Here is a 26,449-nt window from a genome sequence, read left to right as displayed (position 1 = left end):
ACAGCGACTCTGTTGTTTTGTGTTTTGTTCTTGTAAAGACAGGGTCTCACTATGTTGCCGAGGCTAGTCTTGAACTCCTGGGCTCAAGAGATCCTCCCACCTCAGCCTCCCAAAGAGCTGGGATTACAGGCATGAGCCACCATGCCCAGCCCTAGTTTTGTTTGAAGAATGCTGAGGACTGCCAGGGGTGGTGGCTCACGCCTATAATCCCAGCACTTTGGGAGACTGAGGTGGGTGGAACTCCTTGAGCCCAGGAGTTCGAGGACAGCCTGGGCAACATGGCAAGACCACATCTCTACAAAAAAATAAACAAAATTAGCCAGACATGGTGGCACATGCCTGTGGTCCTGGCTACTCAGGAGGCCGAGGTGGGAGGATCACTTGAGCCGGGGAGGTAGTAAGCCATGATGACGAACTGTACTCCAATCCAGCCTGGGCAACAGAGCAAGACCCTGTCTCAAAAAAAAAAAAAAAAAGAAAAAGAAAAAAAGAGAGAATGCCAAACGCCGAGGGCCGTGGGGAGGACTAAGTGAACCGAGGAGAAGGATCCTTGACTTTTGTATTAAACTCAACCAGCCCAGGCCAGGCGCAGTGGCTCATACCTGTAATTCTCACACTTTGGGAGGCCGGGGTGTAAGGATCACTTGAGGTCAGGAGTTCGAGACCAGCCTGGCTAATGTGATGAAATCCCATCTCTACTAAAAGTACAAAAAAATTACCCGAGTATGGCGGCCAACTCCTGTAACTGTAGCTACTCGGGAGGCTGAGGCAAGAGAATCACTTGAACCTGGGAGGCAGAGATTGCAGTGAGCAGAGATCGTGCCACTGCACTCCAGCCTGGGTGATAGAGCAAGACTTTGTCTCAAAAAAAAAAAAAAAAACCTCAAACAGCCCGTCTCTACCCAGCAGCTTAGGAGACTTTTCTCCTTCTGAGCTCTCTTTTCTGGGTTCTCCCACAAAAAGCTTCCTTCTGTCGCCCCCAGGGTATATAAAGATATTTACTTGTACCCTTGAATTTGATTTCTCTACATCCCATCCTAGAGGCAACTGTGCCTGTAGCCATCCCTGGGGGAATCTTGCCCCACGCACACATTTACTCTGCACCTTCCGGACCCCATACCCCTTTTCTATGTGCCTGTTGCCTCCGGCCAGGCCTCGGAAATCTTGCCCTGTTCTCCCCAGGCTTCGTAGCATGGCCTGACTGACAGTGGCATGTGTAGCAGGATCGCAGATTAATATACAAGGAAAGGCGCACGGAGAGACGATGTTTCTCTCTTTCCTGCAGCTGATCTGCTGAGCCATGAGCCCCTCCGGGGAAGTGGAAAGAAACTGTCATCACTGCACTGCAGCTTATCTCGGTTTAGATAGCCTCTCGATGACTCATGTCTCTGTAAATACTTGGTTTTTTTGTTCTGTTTTGTTTGAGATGGAGTCTCGCTCTGTCACCCAGGCTACAGTGCAGTAGTACGATCATAGCTCACTGTGACCTCAGTATCCTGGGTTCAAGTGATCCTCCTGCCTCAGCCTCCCAAGTAGCTGGGACCACAGCCACACGCCACACGCCACCACATTCAGCTAATTTTTTTTTCACATTCAGCTAATTAAAAAAAATTTTTTTTGGAGGCTGGGTGTGGTGGCTCATGCCTGTAATCCCAGCACTTTGGGAGGCCGAGGTGGGTGGATCACCTGAGGTCAGCAGTTCAAGACTAGCCTGGCTAATCTGGTGAAACCCCATCTCTACTAAAAATAAAAAATTAGCCGGGCGTGGTGGCGCATGCCTGTAATCCTAGCTACCCAGGAGGCTGAGGCAGGAGAATTGCTTGAACCCAGAAGGCGAAGGTTACAGTGAGCCAAGATTGCCCCATTACACTCCAGCCTGGGCAATAAGAGCAAAACTCTGTCTAAAAAAAAAAAAAAAAATTTGTTTGTAGGGGTTGGCTCTCACTATGTTGTCCAGGCTGGTCTTGAACTCCTGAGCTCAAGCGATCCTTCTGCCTCAGCCTCCTAAAGTGCTGGCATTACAGGCGTGAGCCACTGTGCCCAGCCCCCATGTGGGCCTTTTGGAGTGCCCTGCTGACACTCCCTGCCCGGTGAGTCCTCATGGCTGAGTTCCTGTTGTGAGGTCTGCACATATACTGGTCTCTTTTTCCTGCCCTGACACTCTGGGAATCTCAAGGCCCTTCAGCTCTTGCAAGTCCCCTGGTCAGATCCTGGAGGGATTTCAGGATGCCCTGTGGCCGTGGGGAGCCAAGTGTGGGGCCCAGGCTCACCTGTGCAGTCATTTCCCAGCTCATTGTTACTTCCTGTCCTCTTGATTGCTGGACACAGTGTCCAGACCACTATGGGATACTTCCTAGGGCTCCAAATAAAACAGAGGAGGCTGGGCGCGATGGCTCACGCCTGTAATTCTGGCACTTTGGGCAGCCGAGGCAGACAGATCACAAAGTCAGGAGATGGAGACCATCCTGGACAACATGGTGAAACCCCGTCTCTACTAAAAATACAAAAAATTACTGGGTGTGGTGGCGGGTGCCTGTAATCCCAGCTACTTGGGAGGTTGAGGCAGGAGAATTGATTGAACCAAGGAGTCGGAGGTTGCAGTGAGCCAAGATCATGCCACTGCACTCCAGCCTGGTGACAGAGCAAGACTCCATCTCCAAAAAAAAAAAAAAAAAAAAAAAAAGACAGAGGGCTGAGGATCCTGTGCCTTTAGCTGTCCCTCAACCCTTCCAACACGCACCTCCCTCAACCCCTGCCTCTGGCCTGGAGGAGGAGCTTAAGAAGCAGTAGTAGGACGGCCTGTGTCCCTTGCCTCTGCTTCCTTTTGCAGCCATCCTGGGGCCACAGCCACTGCATCACATCTGGATTCCTTCCACCCCAGGCACACACAGCAAAACTCAGTGATCTAGTCCAACAGGCCTAGCTCTTGATATGTTAACACGTGCCTAAATTGTTTAGAAAATCCTTTTCTCTCTTGGCAAAGACTGGCTTTCAAAGCTATTACTTTGCCTTACACAGAGGAATATTTTTTTGGATGTCCACAGCTGCGTATTGGCTTTCTATTTCTCTTTGCAATCCTAATCGTCTCTGAGGCAAACAGATGCCTCTGGCAGAAGGGGAAGGAGGTCACACAAAAGGGAGTGCAAAAGAGGAAAGCACGATAATATCATGCACTAGCTCATTCTCCCCAGGCCCTGTGCTTATGACTTGGCAGTGTTTAAGGTTCCTACCAGCCCTGACATCCTGTGAATCTGTGAATCCTATCCTTTCAAGCCTATCAACATAAGAACCCTTTTTTCATTAGCAGTGTGCTTTTTGTTTGTTTGCTTGCTTGTTTTTGTTTGTTTGTTTTGGTCTGGTTGGTTTTTTTGTTTTTTGGGTTTTTTTTTTTTTTTTGAGACGGAGTCTCACTCTGTCACCCAGGCTGGAGTGCAGGGGCGTGATCATGGCTCACTGCAGCCTTGACCTCCCAGGCTCAGGCGATCCTCCCACCTAAACCTCCCGAGTAGCTGGGACCACAGGCACCTGCCACCAGGCCCGGCTAATTTTTGTATTTTTAGTAGACACAGGGTTTCACCATGTTGGCCAGGCTGGTCTCAAACTCCTGGGCTCAAGCAATCCATTGGCCTCGGCTTCCCAGAGTGCTGGGATTACAAGCATGAGCCACCGTGCCCTGCTGTCTTTCAATTTTTATTAAAGGAGAAGGAGATTTGAGACACAGAGACATAGAAAGCGAGCCAGGTGAAGACTGAGGCAGAGACTGGAGTGGTGCCTGTGTGGGCCTCAGAGCCTCCAGAAGGGACCAACTTACCTGAGAACTTGATTTTGGATTTCTGGCCTCCAGAACTATGAGATAATACATTATTTCACAGTTTCTAACCTGCCAAGTTTGTGGTATTTTGTTATGGCAGCCTAGGAAACTAATACAGGGCACATTGGATTTAGAAATAAAGAGGTCATTGGTTGACTTTGGTGGGTTCTAAACCAGTAGGAGCAACTTTTCCAGGAAGCTTGACTATCAAGAGGAGGAGCGCTATGGCAGTAACTAAAGGAATGTTGCTTTAAGAAAAGATGTATATTGGTTCCAGCAGAGCTATTAAACAAACAAACAAACAAAAAACCCAAACAAACAAACAAAAACCCCCACCAAACTACAAATAAATAAATATTAAAAAAAAAAAAAAAGCTGAGGCGGGAGAATCTCTGGAATCCTGGAGGCGGCAGTTACAGTGAGCCAAGATTGTGCCACTGTACTCCAGCCTGGGCGACAGAGCAAGACTCCATCTCAAAAAAAAAAAAAAAAAAAAAAATCCAAGGACATCAGCTATAGGATTTAGGATGGACCTATATGACCTCAACGCAAGACCTTTAACTTAATTATATCTACAAAGACTCAATTTCCAAATAAGGTCACGGTCACAGGTGTCAGGGTCAAGACTTGGACGTATCTTTTGGGAGGACACTATTCATCCACCACAGATCCTTGCCAGGCCTCATCCTGACCTTTTTGCAGCATTTGACCCGCTGGGTCACTTGCTCGTGGAAACCATGTTTTCCATCAGCTTCCAGGATGCCACCGCTCCCCTGGCTTCCCTCCTGCCTCTCTGGATGATCCAACACAAGCTCCTCTGCTGATTCCTCTTCCCCAGCCAGCCCTGAACAGTGAAGGTTTCTAAGATTCTATCCTTAGCTTTCTTCCTCTTCTTTCTTTTCTCCTCCTCCTCACCCTTCTTCCTCCTCTTCCTCTTCCTCTTCTTCCTATTCTTCTTCTTCTTCTTTCATCTTCTTTCATCTTCTTTCTTCTTCTTCTCTTGGTTGGGCCATTGCATTCATTCCCATGGGCTTCAAGAAAGACACAAGGGAGTTATCCTGGATATGAGAGTCCATATTATTGGCCGGGCGTGGTGGCTCACGCCTGTAATCCCAGCACTTTGGGAGGCCGAGGCAGGCAGATAACAAGGTCAGGAGCTCGAGACCATCCTGACTAACACGGTGAAACCCCGTCTCTACTAAAAATACAAAAAATTAGCCGGGCGTGGTGATGGGTGCCTGTAGTCCCAGCTACTTAGGAGGCTGAGGCAGGAGAATGGTGTGAACCCGGGATGCAGAGCTTGCAGTGAGCCAAGATCGCGCCACTGCACTCCAGCCTGGGTGACAGAGCAAGACTCTGTCTCAAAAAATGAGAAAAGTCCATGTTATTGCAGATTTTAGGGCTAGAATGGGTCTTTGACAATGTAACCTGATGGCAATGGGTAAAGTGAAACTGCCTATGCAAAGATAATTCCAATGAGAGAAATCTAACATGGGTGACTCCATCTAGCCTCCAGCCTCACAGGTTGGCTCTCTTTGCTCATTTCTGGGCATAGGCCAAGCTAACCATGAGAGGAATTCAGTTTATAGTTTAACTTTGAAGCAAGGATGATAACAGTCCCTTTTAATTTGAGAGCTGAAACCACCTTTGTAAGACTAGTGAAAAGCCAAAAGATTAGGATTATGAGGGGAAGCTGAATTCTGTCAAAATGCAGGTGTAGTTTCTGTAATCCCTTACTGCTCAGGAGTCATGAGGCCAGAGGCCATAAGATTTGTGACTTCCCCAGTTGCTCCTATAGATAACATCACTCTTGTAGAACCTAAGATTGGCCTTTTGAGATGTTTTTCAGACTCGTGACCCATGACCATGACTGTGGCCCTACCAAGAGGTGGACTCAGTGCACAAGGACCATTTTCCACGCCCCTACAATTGCATCCCTAACCAGTCAGCAGCACCCATTCCCTAGTCCCTGCCAGCCAAACTATCCTTGAAAAATCTGAACCACTGATCCTTCAGGGAGACTGATTTGAGTGATAACCCCAGTTCTCCTGTATAACCAGCCTTGTGTTAATTAAACTCTTGCTTTACTGCAATACCACAGTTCAAAAAAATTAATTTGGTCTGTGCAGCAGACGGGAAGCACCCATTGGGCAATTACAAAAGGTCAGAAAAGTGACAAAAGGAATACAATATTTTAAGTCCAGGCACAGTTGCTCAGGCCTGTAATCCCAGCACTTTGGGAGGCTGAGGCAGGATCACCTGATGTTAGGAGTTTGAGACCAGCCTGGCCAACATGGTGAAATCTGTCTCTACTAAAAATACAAAAATTAGCTGGGCATGGTGGCATGCTCCTGTAATCCCAGCTACTTGGGAGGCTGAGGCAGGGGAGTCACTTAAACATGGGAGGTGGAGGTTACAGTGAGCCAAGATCATGACACCGCACTCCAGCCTGCGTGATACAGTGAGATTCCATCTCAAAAAAAAAAAAAAAAAAAAAAAGAGGAATACAATATTTTAAGAAGATTTCTCCAGTCTTGGTGTTTGAGATGGACTGGATTGGTGAAAGAGACTAGAAAACCAGAGACCCTTTGGGGATTTACTGTAGTAATCCAGGTATGTAATGAGGAGGGCTTAGACTAGGATGCTACCAAGAAAGAGAGGGAAGAGGAGAATGAAGGTTTTTTGGGGGGCACCTATTCTGTGCTACTTTATATACACGTCAGTTCTCACAACAACCCTACAAGGAATGTATTCAGATTTCCATTTTTACAGACTTTTTAAAAAGTTCAGAGAGGTTAAGTGACTTGTTGAAAGTCACACAGCAAGTCTATGGCCATCCTGGGGCATAAACCTAGGTATTTCTGAGACCAGAAATCAGATGGAAGGAATAAATGTGTGAAATAATGTAATATAAGGCTCCTGGCCAGAGATCCTAATACCTTTGTTACTTTCTAAGGGATAGAAACCAAAAGGAGCATCTGGTGTTATCATATTTGCTTTTCGTTCCTAGTTCCTGAAATAGCTCCAGAAGGATTGAAAGGAGAATCTTCTGTTATTCATCACAAGCACCTTTGGCCCACACCCGAGTTTATGTTAATGAGGTGATTTAGGGAAGTCCCTAAGGATGAAGGCTGGGAGCTGGGGGAGCCAACCAAATGATTACAGGGTTGGAATTCTCAGCCACACCCTCCCAAAGGGTTGAGCCGGTCGCCAATGGTCAATGATTTAATCAATCAAGGCTCCATAGAAACCCTAACCTGAAGGGTTCTAAGTTGATGAACAAGAAGGCATCCACGTGCGGGGAGGGCGGCGTACCCTAAACTCCAAGGGGATGGAAGCTCTTGTGCTTGGGACCCTTCTGGACCTCATCCCGGGTATCTCTTCCCCTGGCTGTTCATTTGTACCTTTAAAATATCCTTTGTAGGCTGGACACGATGGCTCACACCTATAATCCCAGCACTTTGGGAGGCTGAGGAGGGCCAATCACTCGAAGTCAGGAATTCGAGACCAGCCTGGCTGACGTGGTGAAACCCCCATCTGTACTAAAAATACAAAAATTAGCCAGGTGTGGTGTCACACCTGTAATCCCAGCTACTTGGGAGGCTGAGGCAGGAGACTTGCTTGAACCCGGGAGACAGAGGTTGCAGTGAGCCGAGATCACGCCACTGCACTCCAGCCTGGGTAACAGAGCAAGACCTTGTCTCAAAAATAAATAAGTAAATAAATAAAATAGCCTTTGTAAAAAATCTGTAATAGGAAGTAAACTTTTCCTGGGTTCTTTGAGCTGTTCTAGTAAATAACTGAACCTGAAGAGGGGGATCGAGGGAACCTCTGATTTGTAGCCAAGTCAGATAGAGGTTTTGAGTAACCGCGGGCCCAGCCACTATCAATTGGCAACCGAGGTTGGGAGGAGTCTTGTGGGACTGAGCCCTTAACCTGTGGGGTCTCCACTAACTCCAGGCACTTCGTGTCAGAATCGAGTTTAATTGTAAGACACCTGGTCAGCATCCCCTGATGCTAATTGGAGCATTGTTTGATGTGGGAGAACTTCTTACAAATTTGGTGTCAGAAGCAAAGTATGGTAGAGAAACTACAGTGAGTGTGTAGAGAAAAATAGTTTGTTCTTTTTAGGAATGAAGAGCAAGGGACAGAATATCCTGAATGGAAATGGGGGATTTTTTTGTTTTTAATTTTATTCTTTTGAGAATGAGTCTCACTCTGTCACCAGGATGGAGTGCAGTGGTATGATCTCAACTCACTGCAACCTCCACATCTCAGGTTCAAGTGGTTCTCCAGCCTCAGCCTCCCAAGTAGCTGGGTCTACAGGCACAAGTCACCAATGCCTAGCTAATTTTTGTATTTTTGTGGAGATAGGGTTTCACCTTGTTGGCCAGGCTGGTCTCAAACTCCTGAGCTCAAAGCAATCCGCTTGCCTCAGCCTCCCAAGGTGCTGGCATTCCAGGTATGAGCCACTGCTCCCGGCCTAGAAATGGGGAATTTTAGAGAGTAAGTTAGTGTGGATGGTAAGTGGTAGAAAGATAATGGAAAATGGTTTCACTTTATTGAGTCTGGGATGATAGAATTGTCATGTGAACAGATGGAAATATTCGAACCAGGGGGTCAGAAAGGGAGATAAGGATTTGAGAGGCATCAGTAAAGAGGTGGCTCATGCCTGTAATCTCGGCACTTTGGGAGGCCAAGGCGGGAGGAACACTTGAGGCCAGGAGTTCGAGACCAGGCTGGCCAATTTGGTGAAACCCTTTCTCTACTAAAAAAATATATATATATCTATATATATAGATATATATATCTACTAAAAATATATATATATAAACATATATATCTCTACTAAAAAAAAAAATATATATATATATATATATATATATATATATATGAAAATTAGCTGGGTGTAGTGGTACGTGCCTGTGGTCCCAGCTACTTGGGAGGCTGAAGCAGGACAATTGCTTGAACCAGGGAGGTGGAGGTTGCGGTGAGCCAAGATTGTGGCACTGCACTCCAGCCTGGGCAACAGAGTGAGACTCTGTCTCAATAAATAAATAAAGTAGAGAGTGGTCGACTGAGTGGTCAAGGAGATGGAGACAGCAGGGGACTGGTCACATTTAGGAGTGCTTTACCGAAAAGATGGATGGCATTTAAGATTCCCTTCCCCGTTTCCTTCAGAAGATTTTTCTTAATTTCTGGTTTCTTGCTCTTTACTCCATTTCCCAAGGAAGGAAGGAAAGAGAGTTGGGGAGGCCACCAGAAATGTATAAGCTCTGGCAAAGCTCTTATTGGCTGGCGGCCAGGCTGAGGCGGGGCAGCCACTCTCCAGGCTTGGGTGGGCCTGCTGTGCCAGCCAGCTGGTCTCAGATGGTTAGTGCAGGGAGGGTGGGCTGACCCGAGGGGACACCATGCAAGGCAGAGGTGCCAGGCAGCATGTGCCCAAAGTCCATTTGTCTGGCAAGTAAGAGCTTTGTCCAGGGTTGGTAATGTTGCCGGCATTTAGCTTTTGGGCCTTTTTTTCTGGAGAGACTAGGATAGAGAGACAGCAGAACTGCCATGAACCAAACTCTCTCGTTTTTCCCTTTTGCAATGAATTGGTTTGTCTCCAGGCTGCTGTTACAACCACGTAATTGCAACCAGGTTACTTTCTTTCTTCTTATTTTTTTTTCAACCTCTAAATCTACTTTAAACTTTCTTTGTTTCTAATAGAGATGGGGTCTTCCTATGTTGTCCAGGCTGGTCTCAAACTCCTGGGCTCAAGTGATCCTCCTGCCTTGGCCTCACAAAGTGTTGGCATTACAGGCATGAGCCACTTCAACAAGCCCAGATTACTTTCTTGTCACATGTTGCAAAACAGACCCCAGGAGGATCTGAGAACACAGAATGTATCAAGCTGAGACACAGACAAGGACACAGTGGGGATACCCATGTGACTGATCCTAGCCAATAAGTGTGTTCCACTTCTCTGGTTTTCATGCTTGATTGGGTGGAAGTGGGAAGATATGTAACTCATACAGGACCAATCAGAGGCTTATTCAGGGTTTGAAACAGACACTGGGGAGAAAGGTGGCAAGGAGTACCGGGTAGCAGGAAAGAAGATATGCTAATTCCTGGAGCTGCTGCCAGTAGGAACAAGGCAAGTTTACATGCCTGCTGGGCACCATCTTTGCTACCACTTGGGAGAACATCCCCTATGAGAAGGAAGCCAAAAGAGAGGAAAACTGAGCCAGACAGTGAGGAGAGATAAATCGTGAGGAAGAGGGTGGGCGCGGTGGCTCACGCCTGTAATCCCAGCATTTTGGGAGGCTGAGGTGGGTGGATCACAGGTCAGGAGTTCAAGACCAGCCTGGCCAAGATGGTGAAACCCTGTCTCTACTAAAAATACAAAAAAAAAAAAAAAAAAAATTAGCTGGGCGTGGTGGCGAGGGCCTGTAATCCCAGCTACTCGGGAGGCTGGGGCAGAGAACTGCTTGAACCTGGGAGGCAGAGGTTGCAGTGAGCTGAGATTGCACCACTGCACTCCAGCCTGGATGACAGAGCGAGACTCCATCTCAAAAAATAAATAAATAAAATAAAATAAAATGTGAGGAAGAGAGAAAGGGAATGTCTGTCCCGATGGCCTTGAGCCCTTGGATCCAGTCATGACTTAAAGCCAGATCTAGTCCTCAACGTTTCCCTTTAATAAGCCAATACATTCCCCCTTTTTGCTCAAATCAGAGTTAAATTTCTAACATTTACAACAACAACAAAAAAAGCTCTCACAAATCATCTTAGTCAGCTCAGGCTGATATAATAAAATACCGGGCGGCTTAAACAACAGGCATTTATTTCTCCTGATTCTGGAGGCTGGGAAGTCCCAGATCAAAGTGCCAGCCAATTGCATTCCTGCTGAGGATTCTCTTCCTGGCCAGACTTGGCCGGGTGTGGTGGTTCATGCCTGTAATCCCAGCACTTTGGGAGGCCGAGGTGGGCGGATCACCTGAGGTCAGGAGTTCAAGACCAGCCTGGCCAACATGGTGAAACCCCATCTCTACTAAAAATACAAAATTTAGCTGGGCTTGGTTGTGGGCACCTGTAATCCTAGCTACTCAGGTGGCCGAGGCAGGAGAATCGCTTGAACCCGGGAGGTGGAGGTTGCAGTGAGCCGAGATTGCGCCATTGCCCTCCAGCCTGGGCGAAAGAGGGAGATTCTGTCTCAAAAAAAAAAAGAAAGGTTACTTCAGAAAGTATAGTGAGCTGAAATTGTGCCACTGCACTCCAGCCTGGGTGACAGAGTGAGACTCCATCTCAAAAATAAATAAATAAATAAAAGACTCTTTCTGGCTTGCAGACATCAGTCTTCTGTATCCTCACAGAAGTGTGCAGGTGGAGAGAGGCAGAGGGGAAGCAAGCTTTCTGATGTCTCTTCTTATAAGGGCCACACCCTCAAGACTTCCTCTAAACCGGATCGCTTCCCAAAGACTCCATCTCCAGATACTAACACATTTGGGGGTTAGGGCTTTGTTTTGCAGCAGAGTGAGAGATCACCTCCAACCTCATGTGCCTCTTATGTGGGCTCTCAGCTATATCTAGAGACCAAATTGACACAAGGCAGAGTAGCAAGATAAAAGCATATAAGCTTTATTAGTTTTCCATGTACACAGGGATCTTCACAAGAGTGAAGTCTGAAGAAGTGGCCAAAGTAAGATGCATTTATACTTTTTCGACAAAGAACAATACATTTGAGAAGAAATAACAGGGCAAAAGGGATCTGGTTACGGGCAGTAAATTTCTAAGGGAGTCACCGGGAGATGTATGGGAGGGTATACAACCAGCAGAATAGAAAGGTCATTTCGGGCGCCAGGTGCAGTGGCTCATACCTGTAATCCCAGCACTCTGGCAGGCCGAGGCAGGCGGATCATCTGAGGTCAGGAGTTTGAGACCAGCCTGGCCAAAATGGTGAAACCCCATCTCTACTAAAAGTACAAAAATTAGCCAGGCCTGTTGGTGCATGCCTGTAATCCCAGCTACGCGGGAGGCTGAGGCAGGAGAATCTCTTAAACCCGGGAGGCAGAGGTTGCAGTGAGCCGAGATTGTGCCATTGCACTCCAGCCTGGGTGAGACAGATTCTGTCTCAAAAAAAAAAAAAAAGGAAAAGAAAATAAAGGTTACTTCATGAAGTATAGTTGTTCAGGTCCACTGCACTGCAGCCCCCAACTTCCAGTCTCTGGTGATAAGGGATATTTTCACCCCCCTGATAAGGGGAGTGTACCCCTCCCAGAGGAATCCTTATGGCTTGCTGCATGCAGGAAGAGACAGGTCAGCTCACCCTTTCTGAAACCACATTTTCTCCAAAGTTTTCTTTTTTTTTCTTTTTTTTTTTTTCTTGAGACAGTCTCACTCTGTTGCCCAGGCTGGAGTGCAGTGGCATGATCTTGGCTCACTGCAACCTCCGCCTGCTGGGTTCAAGTGGTTCTCCTGCCTCAGCCTCCAGAATAGCTGGGATTACAGGTGCATGCCACCATGCCCAGCTAATTTTTGTATTTTTTAGTAGAGACGGGGTTTCACCATGTTGGCCAGGCTGGTCTCCAACTCCTGAGCTCAGGTGATCCACCTGCCTTGGCCTCCCAAAGTGCTGGGATTACAGGTGTCTTTTTTTGTTGTTGTTAATATAGAGAAAGGGTTTCACTTTGTTGCCCAGGCTGGCCTCGAACTCCTGAGCTCAAGTGATCCTCCTGCCTTTGTCTCCCAAAGCGCTGGGATTACAGGCACTCACGCCTGGCCCCTCCAATGTTTTCAACGAAATAATCAACATACCAATTTGGCATATTTTGGGATGGCACATACTTCACTCCTTCAGCTTCAACCTAGGAATTTTTAGAGGACACAATTCAGTCCACAGCACCAATACACCGACCTGATCCTAAAAATGTTTATAACTTTCTTAACACTTAGGGCATCCTCATTTCAAGTAACAGAAAACACACTTCAAATAGCTTTTAAAATAAATTAGACAGGGGTGGTGGTATATGCTTGTAGTCCCAGCTACTTGGGAGGCTGAGGTGATTGGTTAAAGCCAGTGAGGGCCCATCCCTGGAGCTGGGATGAAGTCAGTACTTTCTAAACCACAAGGTTGGAAGTTCAGGATATTGTCAGGAATGGGTTATGGAGTCTAGGAAGACAAAACTGAATGTCCACTATACCATTTGATTAGATTTAATTCCACTGCTAAGAGTTTATCTAATGGAATAATTAGAGGAAGAATAAGAGGCAAGTTTATTGCACCCCAGCCAAAGTAGTATATTTACCACTTCTGTGTAAGTTAGGGGTTGCCTTTGACTGGCAATTAACAGAAAAGTTGCTTAAACAAATACAGATTTATTTTTCTTGCACAACAGGAAGTCTAGAAGATGGTGTTTGTTCCACAAATCAGTGATGCCTTGGGTACCCTGTTCTTTTTTTTTTTTTTTTTTTTTTTGAGACAGAGTCTTGCTGCGTCGCCCAGGCTAGAGTGCAGTAGTGTGATCTTGGCTCACTGCAACCTCCATCTCCCGGTTCAAGCAATTTTCCTTGCCTCAGTCTCCCGAGTAGCTGGGATTACAGGCGCCTACCACCACACCCGGCTAATTTTTGAATTTTTTAGGAGAGACAGGGTTTCCCCATGTTGGCCAGGCTGGTCTTAAACTCTTGACCTCAGGTGATCCATCTGCCTCGGCCTCCCAAAGTGCTGGGATTACAGGTGTGAGCCACCACGCCCGGCCAGTACCCCTGTTCTTTGCCTTCTTGCCTCATCAACCTTAGTATTTCGGTTTGTATTCTTAGGGTCCCAAGACAATATGTGCACCTTCAGACGTTGCGTCTGCATTCAAGACAGGGAGAAAGGAGGAAGAGCCCGGCTAGTACCAACCTTATCTGTTTTCTTTTATGAGGAAAGAAAACCTTTTTCTGAGACAGGCACAGTGGCTCATGCCTGTAATCCCAGCACTTTGGGAGGCCGAGGTGGGCGGATCACCTGAGATCAGGAGTTCAAGACCAGCCTGGCCAATACGGTGAAACCCCGTCTCTACTAAAAATACAAAAAATTAGCTGCGCGTGGTGGCAGGCGTCTGTAATTCCAGCTACTTGGGAGGCTGAGGCAGGAGAATTGCTTGAACCTGGGAGGTGGAGGTTGCAGTGAGTCGAGATCGTGCCATTGCACTCCAGCCTGGGTGACAAGAGTGAAACTCTCTCTCAAAAAAAAAAAAAAAAAGAGAGAGAGAAAAGAAAACCTTTTTCCAGAAGTTCCCACAGTAGTTCTCTGCTTAGGTCCTGTGGATCACTCTTAGTTGCAATGAAGGCAGGGAACCCTGGAGGCTGGATTGTCCTGATAGGGCTTAGACTACTCATGGTCCATCGCCTGGGGGTTCTGGTAGTCAAGAGGAAGGGGACATGCATGTTAGGTGGCCACCCATAATTTCACCAAAAAAAATGTGTGTGGGTTTTTTTGTTTTTTGTTTGTTTTTGAGACAAGGTCTCACTCTGTCACCCAGGCTGGAGTGCAATGTCACAGTCACAGCTCACTGTAGCATCCACCTCCCAGGCTCAGGTGATCCTCCTGCCTCAGCCTTCCAAGTAGCTGGGGCCACAGCCATATGCCACCACACCTGGTTAAATTTTATTTTGTTTCTTTCGTAGAAACCGGATCTTGCTTTGTTGCCCAGGCTGGTCTCAAACTCTTGGGCTTAAGCGATCTGCCCACCTCGGCCTCGCAAAATGCTGAGATTACAAGCATGAGCCATGGTACCTGGTATAAACACACCCAACCTTCCCACTTTTACCTACTTGCTCAAGTTATTGCCACTTGTCTAAAACTTGCTCTTCTCTATCTCTGCTTGTCCAAGTCCTATCTACCCTTCAAAATCCTTTTCCAATGTCCTGGATCCCCAGTGGGATATGAAGACTTCTTCTGCCTCTCCCAGCACCTTGTAACCTTGACTCTGCCTTTTACATTCTGTCCTGTGTGTGGTCATTTGCACAAGGCAGCGTTGTGCTGTGGCGCAGCTTTGGCCATAGACCACCTTTGGTTCAGCCACTTTGCAGGTGCACCATTGATAGGTCACTTACCCTTTCTAGGGTCTCAATTTCCCCATTTATAAAATGAGGGTACTATTAGATCCTGCTTTAGAGAGTTGTTGTGGGGATTAAGTAGGATAATTTGTGTAAACTACTTAGCCTGGTGCCTGATGTATAGCCAGCACTTGCTGACTGTTAGCCATCCTGGTTATTATGGTCATTACTGCTCTCTTCGCCCCGTCACCTCCCTCACAGTCTCTGCCTTCCTCAGCTCTGCATGCTCTGACACTTTTTAAAATGGAGATAAAATTCACATACCATAAAGTATGTGAATTCTTTATTCACATACCATAAAGTGTGTGAATTCTTTATTCACATACTTTTAAAGTGTATGATTCAGTGATTTTTGGTATATTCACAAAGATGTACAACCATCACCACGATCTCATTCCACAACATTTGTATCACCCCTGAAAGAAATCCTGTACCTGTTAACAGTCGCTCCCCATCTCTCCCTCCCCTCAGCTTCTGGCAACTACTAACCTACTTGATATCTCTATGGATTTGCTTATTCTGGACTTTTTTTTTTTTTTTTTTTTTTTTTTGAGAGAGAGATACTGGGTCTTGCTCTGTCACCCAGGCTGGAAGTGCAGTGGTATGATCATAGCTCACTGCAGCCTCAAACTCCTGGACTCCAGCGATCCTTTGTGCCTCAGCCTCCCAAGGAGTTGGGTCTACAAGTGTGCACCACCACACCTGGCTAATTTTTAATTTTTTTTGTAGAGATGGGGTTTTGCTATGTTGCCCAAGCTGGTCTCAAACTCCTGGCCAGAAGTGATCCTCCCGCCTCAGCCTCCCAAACTGCTGGGATTACAGGCGTGAGCCACCATGCCCAGCCTATTCTGGACATTTTATGTACATGGAATTACACAATATGAGATCTTTTGTGACTGGCTTTTATTTAGCATATTTTCAAGGTTCATGTGTGTTGTAGCATGTATCAGTACTTTATTTTGTGGCTGAATAATTCCATTGCATAGATTTACTGCATTTTATTTGTCTATTAATTAGTTGAGGGACTTGTAGATGCCTCCACTTTTTTTTTTTTTTTTTTTTTTGAGACAGAGTCTCGCTCTGTCGCCAGGCTGGAGTGCGGTGATGCGATCTCGGCTCACTGCAACCTCTGCCTCCTGGGTTCAAGCGATTCTCATGCCTCAGCCTCCCGAGTAGCTGGGATTACAGGCATGTGCCACCACACCCAGCTAATTTTTGTATTTTTGGTAGAGACAGGGTTTCACCATGTTGGCCAGGCTGGTCTCAAAGTCCTGACCTCGTGATCTGCCTGCCTTGGCCTCCCAAATTGCTGGGATTACAGGTGTGAGGCACTGCGCCCGGCCGTCTCCACCTTTCGGTAATTATGAATAATGCTTCTATAAACCTTTGTGTACAAGTTGTTGTGTGGATATATTTTCAATTCTCTTGGGTATATATCTCCATCAGAAGAGGGGGAGTTAAAGCTTCTACAGAAAATATAATTACGCTATTTCAAACAATAGAACAATTCTGCCCATGGTTTCCAGAACAGGGAACTTTAGATTTAAAAGACTGGGAAAAAATTGGCAAAGAATTAAAACAAGCAAGTAGGGAAGGTAAAATCATCCCACTTACAGTATGGAATGATTGGGCCATTATTAAAGCAACTTTGGAACCATTTCAAATAGAAGAAGATAGCGTTTCAGTCTTTGATGCCCCTGAAAGCTGTGTAATAGATTGTGAGGAAGAGGCAGGAACAGAGTTCAAGAAAGGAATGGAAAGTTCACATTGTAAAAATGCAGTAGAGTCTGTAATGCCTGCCTGCGTTGTAGGATTGCCTGCCTTGTAGTATTGCCCGCCTTGTAGGATTGGAAGTGCTGCATTCTATAGTAGCTCTATATTTAACATTTTGAAACTGCTAAACTGTTTTCTACAGTGGCTGCGCTATTTGACATTCCCATGAGCCGTGTCTGAGGGTTCCCATTTCTGCACATCCCTGACAACTCTTGCCATTGTCTGTCCAATGCTGCCACTTTTCTCCCAGTAACTGTGTGCCTCATGAGTATTCAGTTTGTTGGATGGAAGCTCTCCACTGCTCTGGCGTCTCTGCGTTTCTTTGATGCTGGCATAAGAGGCATGGTTTCTCCACTGGCAGCATCAGCTGGGACATTGGATTTGGGAAAAACTCTGAGGTTCCTTTGCATCAGGCTGGGGGCTGAGCCCTGAGGTCCATGTCTTCATGGAGCCTGGAGTCTATGGAGGCACAAATAAGTCAACAAAGTGTCCAATTGCAATGCGGTGAGCACGACTCCAGAGGGAAGCCCAGGGCATTATTATTAAAGTGTGATGGGTCGTGATTACCGGTGGCTTATGCCTGTAATCCCAGCACTTTGGGAGGCTGAGGTGGCAGTGAGCCGAGATCATGCCACTGCATGCTTTAGTCTCGCTCTGGGCAAGACTCCATCTCAAAAAAAAAAAAAAGGGGGACCAGGCGCGGTGGCTCATGCCTGTAATCCCAGCACTTTGGGAGGCCGAGGCGGGCAGATCACTCGAGGTCAGTTCGAGATCAGCCTGGCCAACACGGTGAAACCCCGTCTCTACTAAAAATGAAAGAAAATTAGCCGGGTGTAGTGGTGCACGCCTGTAATCCCACTTACTAGGGAGGCTGAGGCAGGATAATTGCTTGAACCCGGAAGGAGGAGGTTGCAGTGAGCTGAGATCATGCCACTGCACTCCAGCCTGGGTGACAGAACAAGACTCTGTCTCAAAAATAAATAAATAATAAATAAACAAATAGGCTGGGCACGGTGGCTCACGCCTGTAATCCGAGCACTTTGGGAGGCTGAGGTGGGAGGATCACAAGGTCAGGAGATCGAGACCAGCCTGGCCAACATGGTGAAACCCCGTCTCTACTAAAAATACAAAAATTAGCTGGGCATGGTGGCAGGAGCCTGTAATCTCAGCTACTCCAGAACCTGAGGCAAGAGAATCGTGTGAACCCGGGAGGCGGAGGTTGCAGTGAGCTGAGATCGCCCCATTGCACTCCAGCCTGGGTGACAGGGTGAGACTCCGTCTCAAAAAAAAAAAAAAAAAGAAAAGAAAAGAAAAGAAAAATAAATAAAGTGTGATGGAGAGATGGTACCGATTCCCCCCACCTGAGAGCCAAGAGGTTGTGCAAGGAGGGCTTCCTGGAAGAGGCAATGACGGACCTAAGTCTTAAAGATTAAGGAGTCACTCAGACAAAAAAAGGCGGGGCATAGTATTCCCAGGTGAGGGGAACTGCACAAGGCAAGACACGGAGCTGGGAAACAGTCTGGACTGTGCTGTGGAAGTGGCTGGCAGGAGAATAAAGTGGGGATTTGATGGTGACAGAGGAAGAGAGAGATTGGAGTGTGATAAACCTATGTACTGCATGGGAGACGCAGCAGCCGGGAGGCCTCTGCCTTGGTCTCCTCCTGTGTAAAATGGGGATAAAAATATTGCCTGCCTTGTAGGGATCTTGTCAGGGTTTAATGAGCTTGAATTAAGAGTTTATGTACCATCTGGAACAGTCTCTGGCACATGTTCAATAAATGTTGGCTGTAACTGCTGCTCTCCTCCAAGAGCTTGGTGAGACACTGTAGCTTCCTCTCTGGAGCTGAGAGAGACGTGCATGGCGGGGCGGGGGCTGTAGAGAAGGAAGTCTTCCATCGTTACAATGAGGATGGGGGAGAGCGGGGTAGAGAGACAGGGAACAGCTTCCAGAGAAGGAAGATGGGTTTGGCAGGCAAGACAATAGGTGTCCACTTCTAGGGAGGTGTGAACAAGGTATCAATCAACCACTATGTAGTGAGTACCTGCTGTGTTCAAAGCAATGCGTGAAAGCTGCTGAGATATGAAGAAATACACCTCCCTAACCACAAGCTCACAATGGACTTAGGAGAGACAAGGCAATAGTACATTAAAAATAAAAAAAAATAAAAAAAAATCCAAATTACATGATAGGGCAAGATTAATCTTCTAATAAGTGGCAGAGCTAGGAAGGTTTGTAGGGAATCCAGAAAATGATGGATTCATTTGAGGATTGATGAGGCTGGGAGGGCTTCATGGAGAGACAGAGAACCAAGCTGGAGTGGAAGGTGGGGAGGACTCAAGGAGGCCATCGGAGTGGAGGCCAAGTCAGGTGGAAAAAACGGCAGGGTAGGGACAGGGCTTTTAAGTTATTACAATCAACCAGAGAAGAAGGAAAAGATTCCAGAGCATCCCATGGGGGTTAATGGAGGACAGGCCTGGAAAGAGAGAGAGAATTAAAAACTAATATTTAGGCCAGGAGTGGTGGCTCACACCTGTAATCCCAGCACTTTGGGAGGCCGAAGTGGGAGGATCACTTGAGGTCAGAAATTCGAGACCAGCCTGGCCAACATGGCGAAACCCTGTCTCTACTAAAAATACAAAAATTACCCGGGCGTGGTGGCAGGTGACTGTAATCGCAGCTACACAGGAGGCTGAGGCAGAAGAATCACTTAAATCCAGGAGGCGGAGGTTGCAGTGAGCTGAGATCGAGCCATTGCACTCCAGCCTGGGTGACAGAGCGAGACTCCATCTCAAAAAACAAAAAAACAAAAAACAGAGAAACATAAAAAACTAACATTTATTAAGTGCTTTAGGCATAGTATTAAGTGCTGTCCATGTTTAGTAGGGAGAAAAAAAAATCACCCTTTTAAAATCATGCTACAAATAGTACTTATTGCTCCAGGCCAAAATCGCAAGTATAAATGTCAGACAAGGATAAGGGAGTGATTCAGGCCAAGTGTTACCATAGGGAGTGGTGGCGATTGTGGCAAACTAGGGAGCATTTGCTTCCCCTAAAAGAGGCAGTTGCGCCAGGTGTAGTGGCGCACGTCTGTAATCCCAGCACTTTGGGAGGCCAAGGCAGGCGGATCATGAGGTCAGGAGATCGAGACCATCCTGGCTAACATGGTGAAACCCCGTCTCTACTAACAATACAAAAAATTAGCCGGGTGTGGAAGCGGGCGCCTGTAGTCTCCGCTACTCGGGAGGCTGAGGCAGGAGAATTGCTTGAACCCGGGAGGCGGAGGTTGCAGTGAGCCGAGATCGTGCCACTGCACTCCAGCCTGCCAATACAGCGAGACTCGGTCTCAAATAAATAAATAAATAAATAAATAAATAAATCTCCTCCCACAAATCTGATTCCCCTTCAGTTTCCCTATTTCAATCAATGGCCCCTCCATCCTCCATCACACGTGCCATCAACACATTCCACTTCACCCTCCACATCCAGCTCTTCCCAATGTCTGTGGCTTCTCCTTTACAAACACATCTCATATGTGTCCACCTCTCGCCGCCTCCACTGCCACCACCCTAATCCAGGCCGTTACCATTGCTGCTGTACAGGGTCGCCTGGTCTCCAGGGTCGGTGGGTCTCCTTGCTTTCATTTTCCACCTGCTTCTATCCCATTCTCTATACAGAATCTATAGTGATGATTTAAGGATGAAAATCTAATCATATTGAGGCAGGATAATAGGGAATTAGGGTAACCATGGGTTAAGGCATAAGCAAAAGAACAGCAGATGCAGCCAGTTCTAGGCAAGACTGGGCTGCACACAGGCCGCACCCTCACTCCTATGATAACAAGACAGAAGTTTCCACTTCAGCCTCTGATTGGTCGTGGGCCAATCCTTCATAAGGTGTAACCAACTGGAGGCCTCTAAAGGGCACCTAGGGGTGTTACCAAATTCTTTTTTTCTTTTCTTTTTCTTTTTTTTTTTTTTTTTTTGAGACGGAGTTTCGCTCTTGTTGCCCAGGCTGGAGCGCAATGGCGAGATCTTGGCTCACCACAACCTCCAACTCCTTGGTTCAAGCGATTCTCCTGCCTCAGCCTCTGGAGTAGCTGGGATTATAGGCATGTGCCACCACGCCCAGCTAATTTTGCATTTTTAGTAGAGACCGGGTTTCACCATGTTGGCCAGGCTGGTCTTGAACTCCCAATCTCAGGTAATCTGGCCGCCTTGGCCTCCCAAAGTCCCGGGATTACAGGCGTGAGACACCGCGCCCAGCCACCAAATTCTTTTAGCTTAATAAAAACCCTAAAGAACATTGTAATCGGGACTTTTAACCCACTTGCTTGAGCCGGCTCACGCTCTGTACTTTCACGTCAATAAATCTGCGCTTTCGTTGCTTGTTTCTTCTTTTGTTGCTTCGTTCTTTCATTGCTTTGTGTGTTTTGTTTAATTCTTTGTTCAATGTGCCAAGAATCTGGACAACTTACAGTCAAGACCTTCTATCCAGTAACAATATCATTCCTATGTGGAAAGCCTTTTGATGATTTCTCTTGGCTTTGGTATAAAATCCAAAATCATTGATGTGGTTCACAAAGCTCTATTTGATGAGCTGGACCCAGGGATATGAAATTAAATGTCTGTATGGTACAGGCAAGTGACTTAAGTAAATAAAGCTGGCTGAGTCAAGGGGACAATAGGGAGGAGTGGAGACTGTGGCAAACTGGGGAGTGCATGACTGCCTAAGAGTGTAGCTTCTTGCATCCAGCAGACTGTTGGCACATGGGAAGGTAAACCCTGTAGCCAGATCTTCTGATATTTCAAGGGAAGCTGGTCACCCAGATTTTTAAGTAAAGCTATGGATTCAAAAGCTGGCAACTAATTCACAATCTTTTTTATACCATGCAAGAGAAAAACAAAAAACCACATCTGTGGGTTGGATGAACTTCTCAGCAGCCAAATGTTGGATTCTACTCTATACTCTAAAGATCCTGGACAGAACTTCTGTTAGAAGATTACTAATACTTTTTCTTTTTCTTTTTTCTTTTCTTTCTTTTTTTTTTTTTTTTTTTTTTTTTTTTTTGATACAAGCTCTCACTCTGTTGCCTAGGTTGGAAGGCAGTGGTGCAATCTCAGCTCACTGCAGCCTTTATCTCCTGGGCTCAAGTGATCCTCCCCCCACCTCAGCCTCCCAAGTAGCTGGGTCTACAGGCATGCTCTCACCATGCCCAACTAATTTCTGTATTTTTCGTAGAGACGGGGTTTTGCCATGTTGCCCAGACTGGTCTTGAATTCCTGAACTTATGCAATCCACCCATCTCAGCCTCCCAAAGTGCCAGGATTACAGGAGTGAGCCACCATGCTCAGCCAGAAAAATTACTAATACTTTTGTTGGACAAGCATTTAACAGGTTTTTTTTGAGGGTGGTGTGCAAAGATAAAGCGTCTCTTCTCCCCCTTTCGCCAGTAAGAGAGACTGAGGCACAGAGGAATACGCTGTGGTGCGTAATACAGTGAAGGGGCGTCTTCCTTGGCATGAACTATTTTGCCTTGTACACTGAATTGTGGATTTTCTCCAGGTTAGCCAGAAGAGGGGAGTTTTGGAGATCCTGGAACTGGGAGGAGAGAGGAAATGGGAAATGGGAAAAGGGGTCTCACCCAGTGTCTATGGCTCGGACCTGGGACAGCAGGCCAGGCCTGGGAGGGCAGGATGGCCTCTCCCCACAATGACAGAATGCAACAGGCAGACTGCAGGGATTGTGAGGACTGCCAGCCAACTCCAGTGCTATCCGATTCTGGACTGTCACCCGCCCCCCACCTTCCCTGCTTTGACAATCCCCAGCCCCAGCCTCGGGCTTGCACTAGCACTGGCTGCCTTGGGGGGAAGCACCTGCAGAGAGGTAGAGCAGCTTGGAGAGGTAGTGACCAGCCAAGCAATGACCTGAGCCCGAGGCAGCAGGTAACCACACAGAGATATTTGGGAAGGCACTGGCTGGCCCATCGCCTCGCAGGATGGAGACTTAAGTGGGTTTATATGAATGTTATTTCCGGTTAAGGTGTCCCTGGGAGCACTTGGGTTACACTTGCAACATCTCATTTAATCATCCTGATTTTACACCCCCTGAGCTAGGTGATATCGAGGTGCAAGTCTAGGGATTTCCCTGCCTTTCTGGGGAGAGAAGGGGCACAGGATCTCTGACGGGGAGAGCCCTGAGAGGAGAAAGCTTCGAAGAGAGGCAGCCGGGGGATGGAAGCCCGATCTGCTTTGACGGATTCAAGAGGGAGCAGTGACTCTTTTCTTTTGGGTGTTGCCCTTCTGTGTAGTCCAAGATCACCACCATTCATCACAAATGGAGGAGACAGCTTTGCAGAGAATTAAGTGAGTGGCTTATCCATCCCATGTCTGACCATCTGGAAGGTTCCTCCCTCGGCTGTCCTCAGGATTAGATCTGAGGTTGGTGTACTCCAGTGAGGTTGTGTGGCAGGCCAGGTCCCACTCATGCAGGCCTCCATAACAACAGTTTCAGTACTGACTGAGTGGTTAAGTTAAATATTAAAAGATGGCTGAGCGCAGTGGCTCACACCTGTAATCCCAGCACTTTGGGAGGCCAAAGCAGGTTGATCACCTGAGGTCAGGAGTTCGAGACCAGCCTGGCCAACATAGTGAAACATCGTCTCTACTAAAAATATAAAAATTAGCTGGGCATGGTGGCACGCACCTGTAATCTCAGCTACTCTAGAGGCTGAGGCAGGAGAATCTCTTGAACCTAGGAGGCGGCAATTGCAGTGAGCCAAGATCTCACCATTGCACTCCAGCTGTGGGTGACAGAGCAAGACTCTTGTCTCAAAAAAAAAATAAAAATAAAAATAAAAATAAAAAAATAAAAAATTGCTGAAAGAGCCAGTGTGCTTATACAAAGGCTGGAATGTAACAAAAGTTCACCAAGAGTTTTGCCTAGGCCTTTCCTGGGCCTTAAAGCATGACAAAATAATGAAGGAATTCTTAACAGGACCCATTTAGGATTAAACAAATTTTATTGTGGGTCTGAAGAAACACCCCAGGCCTCCACAAACAAGTTTACTAGGGGTCTGAAGGAACTCCCCAAACCTCCATGATTTAGCAGGAGACAAGATAAGGGTAATCACCTCGCACTTGGACCCATTTAGATTAAGTAAATTTACTGAGGCTCCAGAGGAAGGTCTTCAGGACTTAGACCTTAGTTATAGATTAAAATAAGTTAATCAGGGCTGGGCGCGGTGGCTCACGCCTGTAATCCCAGCACTTTGGGAGGCTGTAGGCAGGCGGATCACGAGGTCAGGAGTTCAAGACCAGCCTGACCAACATGGTAAAACACCCATCTCTACTAAAAATACAAAAAAGAAAAAAATTAGCCGGGTGTGGTGGCACGCACCTGTAATCCCAGCTACTCAGGAGGCTGAGGCAGGAGAACTGCTTGAACCCGGGAGGTGGAGGTTGCAGTGAGCTGAGATCGCACCACTACACTCCAGCCTGGGAGACAAGAGCGAAACTCCATCTCAAAAAAAAGAAAAAAAAAAAGAGTGCCGGGCACGGTGGCTCATGCTTATAATCCCAGCACTTTGGGAGGCCAAGGCGGGTGGATCAAGAGGTCAGGGGTTCGAGACCAGCCTGACCAACATGGTGAAACCCTGTCTCTACTAAAAATACAAAAAAATTAGCTGGGTGTGGTGGCGGGCGCCTGTAATCCCAGCTACTCAGGAGGCTGAGGCAGGAGAATTGCTTGAACCCAGGAGGCGGAGTTTGCAGTGAGCCGAGATCGCACCACTGCACTCCAGCCTGGGCGACAGAGCAAGACTCTGTCTCAAAAAGAAAAAAAAAAAAAAAAAAGAGTTGATCACTATATATGTTTTTAGAAGAATGCACACCTACACGTAGACATACAGCTTAGGAGGTACGTAAGCTCTGGAAAGCTTTGTAATTTAAGAGTTGGTCTCACAATATTTTCCAGGCCTTCTCCCTAAAACTGGTTACAGAAATAAAAACTTCCTTCTTTCCCAGTTCATCCACATCTCGTTATTGTGCCGCAAGAATAAGCAGCCCGACCCTCGGTTTGGTCTGGGAACAGTTGTCCATCACTGTTTTGCTGCCTTGCTTTTTTCTGATCTCCTCAGCTCCAGCTACTGGGTCAGTTTGACTTATTACAGATCATAGGTATGGGAGGAAGAAGAGGTTTGAGGAACAAGTGGTTCTCCATCCCAGTGCTCAATTTAGAAAAAGAAAAAAGTAATTTATTGAACTGCAGAGGAGAAGGAGCTTAATTTTTTGACATTTATTTTTATTTTTCTTAGTAACAAGTCATGCAGAACCAGTTATTACTAGTTTGAATTGAGTAAAATATAGTTGCTAACAATAACAAAAGAACAACCCAATTTTAAAAATGGGCAAAAGACTTGAATAGACATTTCTCCAAAGAAGAAATACAAATAGTCAGGAAGCACATGACCAGATGCTCAACATTGCTAATCATTAGGGAAATGCGAATCAAAATCACAATGAAACCACTTGAGGCGCATTAGAATGTCTTTTATTTTAAAAAGAAAAAGAAAGTAAGTGTTGATGAGGATGTGGAGAAATGGGAACACTTGCACATTGTTGATGGGAATGTAACATGGTACAGCCACTATGGCAGTTTCTCAAAAAATTGAAAATAGAACTACCATATGATATGACAATTATTTTTTCCTTTTTTTTTTTTTTTTTTTTTTTTTTTTGAGACAGAGTCTCACTCTGCAGCCCAGGCTAGTATGAGTGGCATGATCTCTGTTTACTGCAACCTCCACCTCCCAGATTCAAGTGATTCTCCTGCCTCAGCCTCCCAAGCTGGGATTACAGGCATGTGCCACCATGCCTGTCTAATTTTTGTATTTTTAGTAGAGATGAGGTTTCACCATGTTGGCCAGGCTGGTCTCGAACTCCTGAGCTTAGGCGATCCTCCTGCCTTGGCCTCCCAAAGTGCTGGGATTACAGGCATAAACCACTGTGCCCGGCCCCTGATCTGGCTTTTTTTTTGTTTGTTTTGTTTTGTTTTGTTTTTGAGATGAAGTCTCACTCTGTCGCCCAGGCTGGAGTGCAATGGTGCAATCTCAGCTCACTGCAAACTCCACCTCCCAGATTCAAGTGATTCTCCTGCCTCAGCCTCCCAAGTAGCTGGGACTACAGGCACCCGCCACCATGCCTAGCTAATTTTTTTTTTTTTGAAATGGAGTCTCACTCTGTCGCCCAGGTTGGGGTGCAGTGGCACAATCTCAGCTCACTGCAAGCTCCACCTCCCAGGTTCACGCCATTCTCCTGCCTCAGCATCCCGAGTAGCTGGAACCACAGGCACCCGCCACCATGCCTGGCTAATTTTTTGTATTTTTAGTAGAGACGGGGTTTCACCGTGTTAGCCAGGATGGTCTCGATCTCCTGACCTCGTGATCTGCCTGCCTCGGCCTCCCAAAGTGCTGGGATTACAGGCCTGAGCCACCGTGCCCGGCCTGATCTGGCAATTCTTATGGGTATATGCTGAAAAGAATGGAAAGCACTGACTCCAACAGATAGTTGTGCAGTCAGGTTCACAATAGCCAAAAGGTAGAAACAACAGATGAATGGATAAACAAAATGTGGTATACACATACAATGGAATATTCATTCATCCTTTAAAAGGAGGAAGATTCTGACACATATGACAACGTGGATGAACCTTGAGGACATTATGCCAAGTGAAATAAGCCAGTCACGAAAGAACAAATTCTGTGTGATTCTACTTATATG

General features: G+C 46.6%; 3 annotated features.

Annotated features, from left to right (window-relative positions):
• Positions 647 to 1,163: an enhancer, noted in NCBI's record as "H3K27ac hESC enhancer chr22:41107927-41108443 (GRCh37/hg19 assembly coordinates)". NCBI's record gives its function as "activates a minimal SCP1, AML or CMV promoter by ChIP-STARR-seq in naive H9 embryonic stem cells {active_cell/tissue: H9 hESC(naive)}" and the evidence as "EXISTENCE:reporter gene assay evidence [ECO:0000049][PMID:30033119]".
• Positions 1,187 to 1,481: an enhancer, noted in NCBI's record as "tiled region #1401; HepG2 Activating non-DNase unmatched - State 1:Tss, and K562 Activating DNase unmatched - State 8:EnhW". NCBI's record gives its function as "activates a minimal TATA promoter and a strong SV40 promoter by Sharpr-MPRA in HepG2 and K562 cells {active_cell/tissue: HepG2 | K562}" and the evidence as "EXISTENCE:reporter gene assay evidence [ECO:0000049][PMID:27701403]".
• Positions 1,254 to 1,373: a silencer, noted in NCBI's record as "silent region_13773". NCBI's record gives its function as "represses an Ori minimal core promoter by ATAC-STARR-seq in GM12878 lymphoblastoid cells {active_cell/tissue: GM12878}" and the evidence as "EXISTENCE:reporter gene assay evidence [ECO:0000049][PMID:35858748]".

This window comes from Homo sapiens, chromosome 22 (genome assembly GCF_000001405.40).
Source record: "Homo sapiens chromosome 22, GRCh38.p14 Primary Assembly".
Classification (NCBI taxonomy): Eukaryota; Metazoa; Chordata; class Mammalia; order Primates; family Hominidae; genus Homo; species Homo sapiens.
This window is presented reverse-complemented; position numbering and strand designations above follow the sequence as displayed.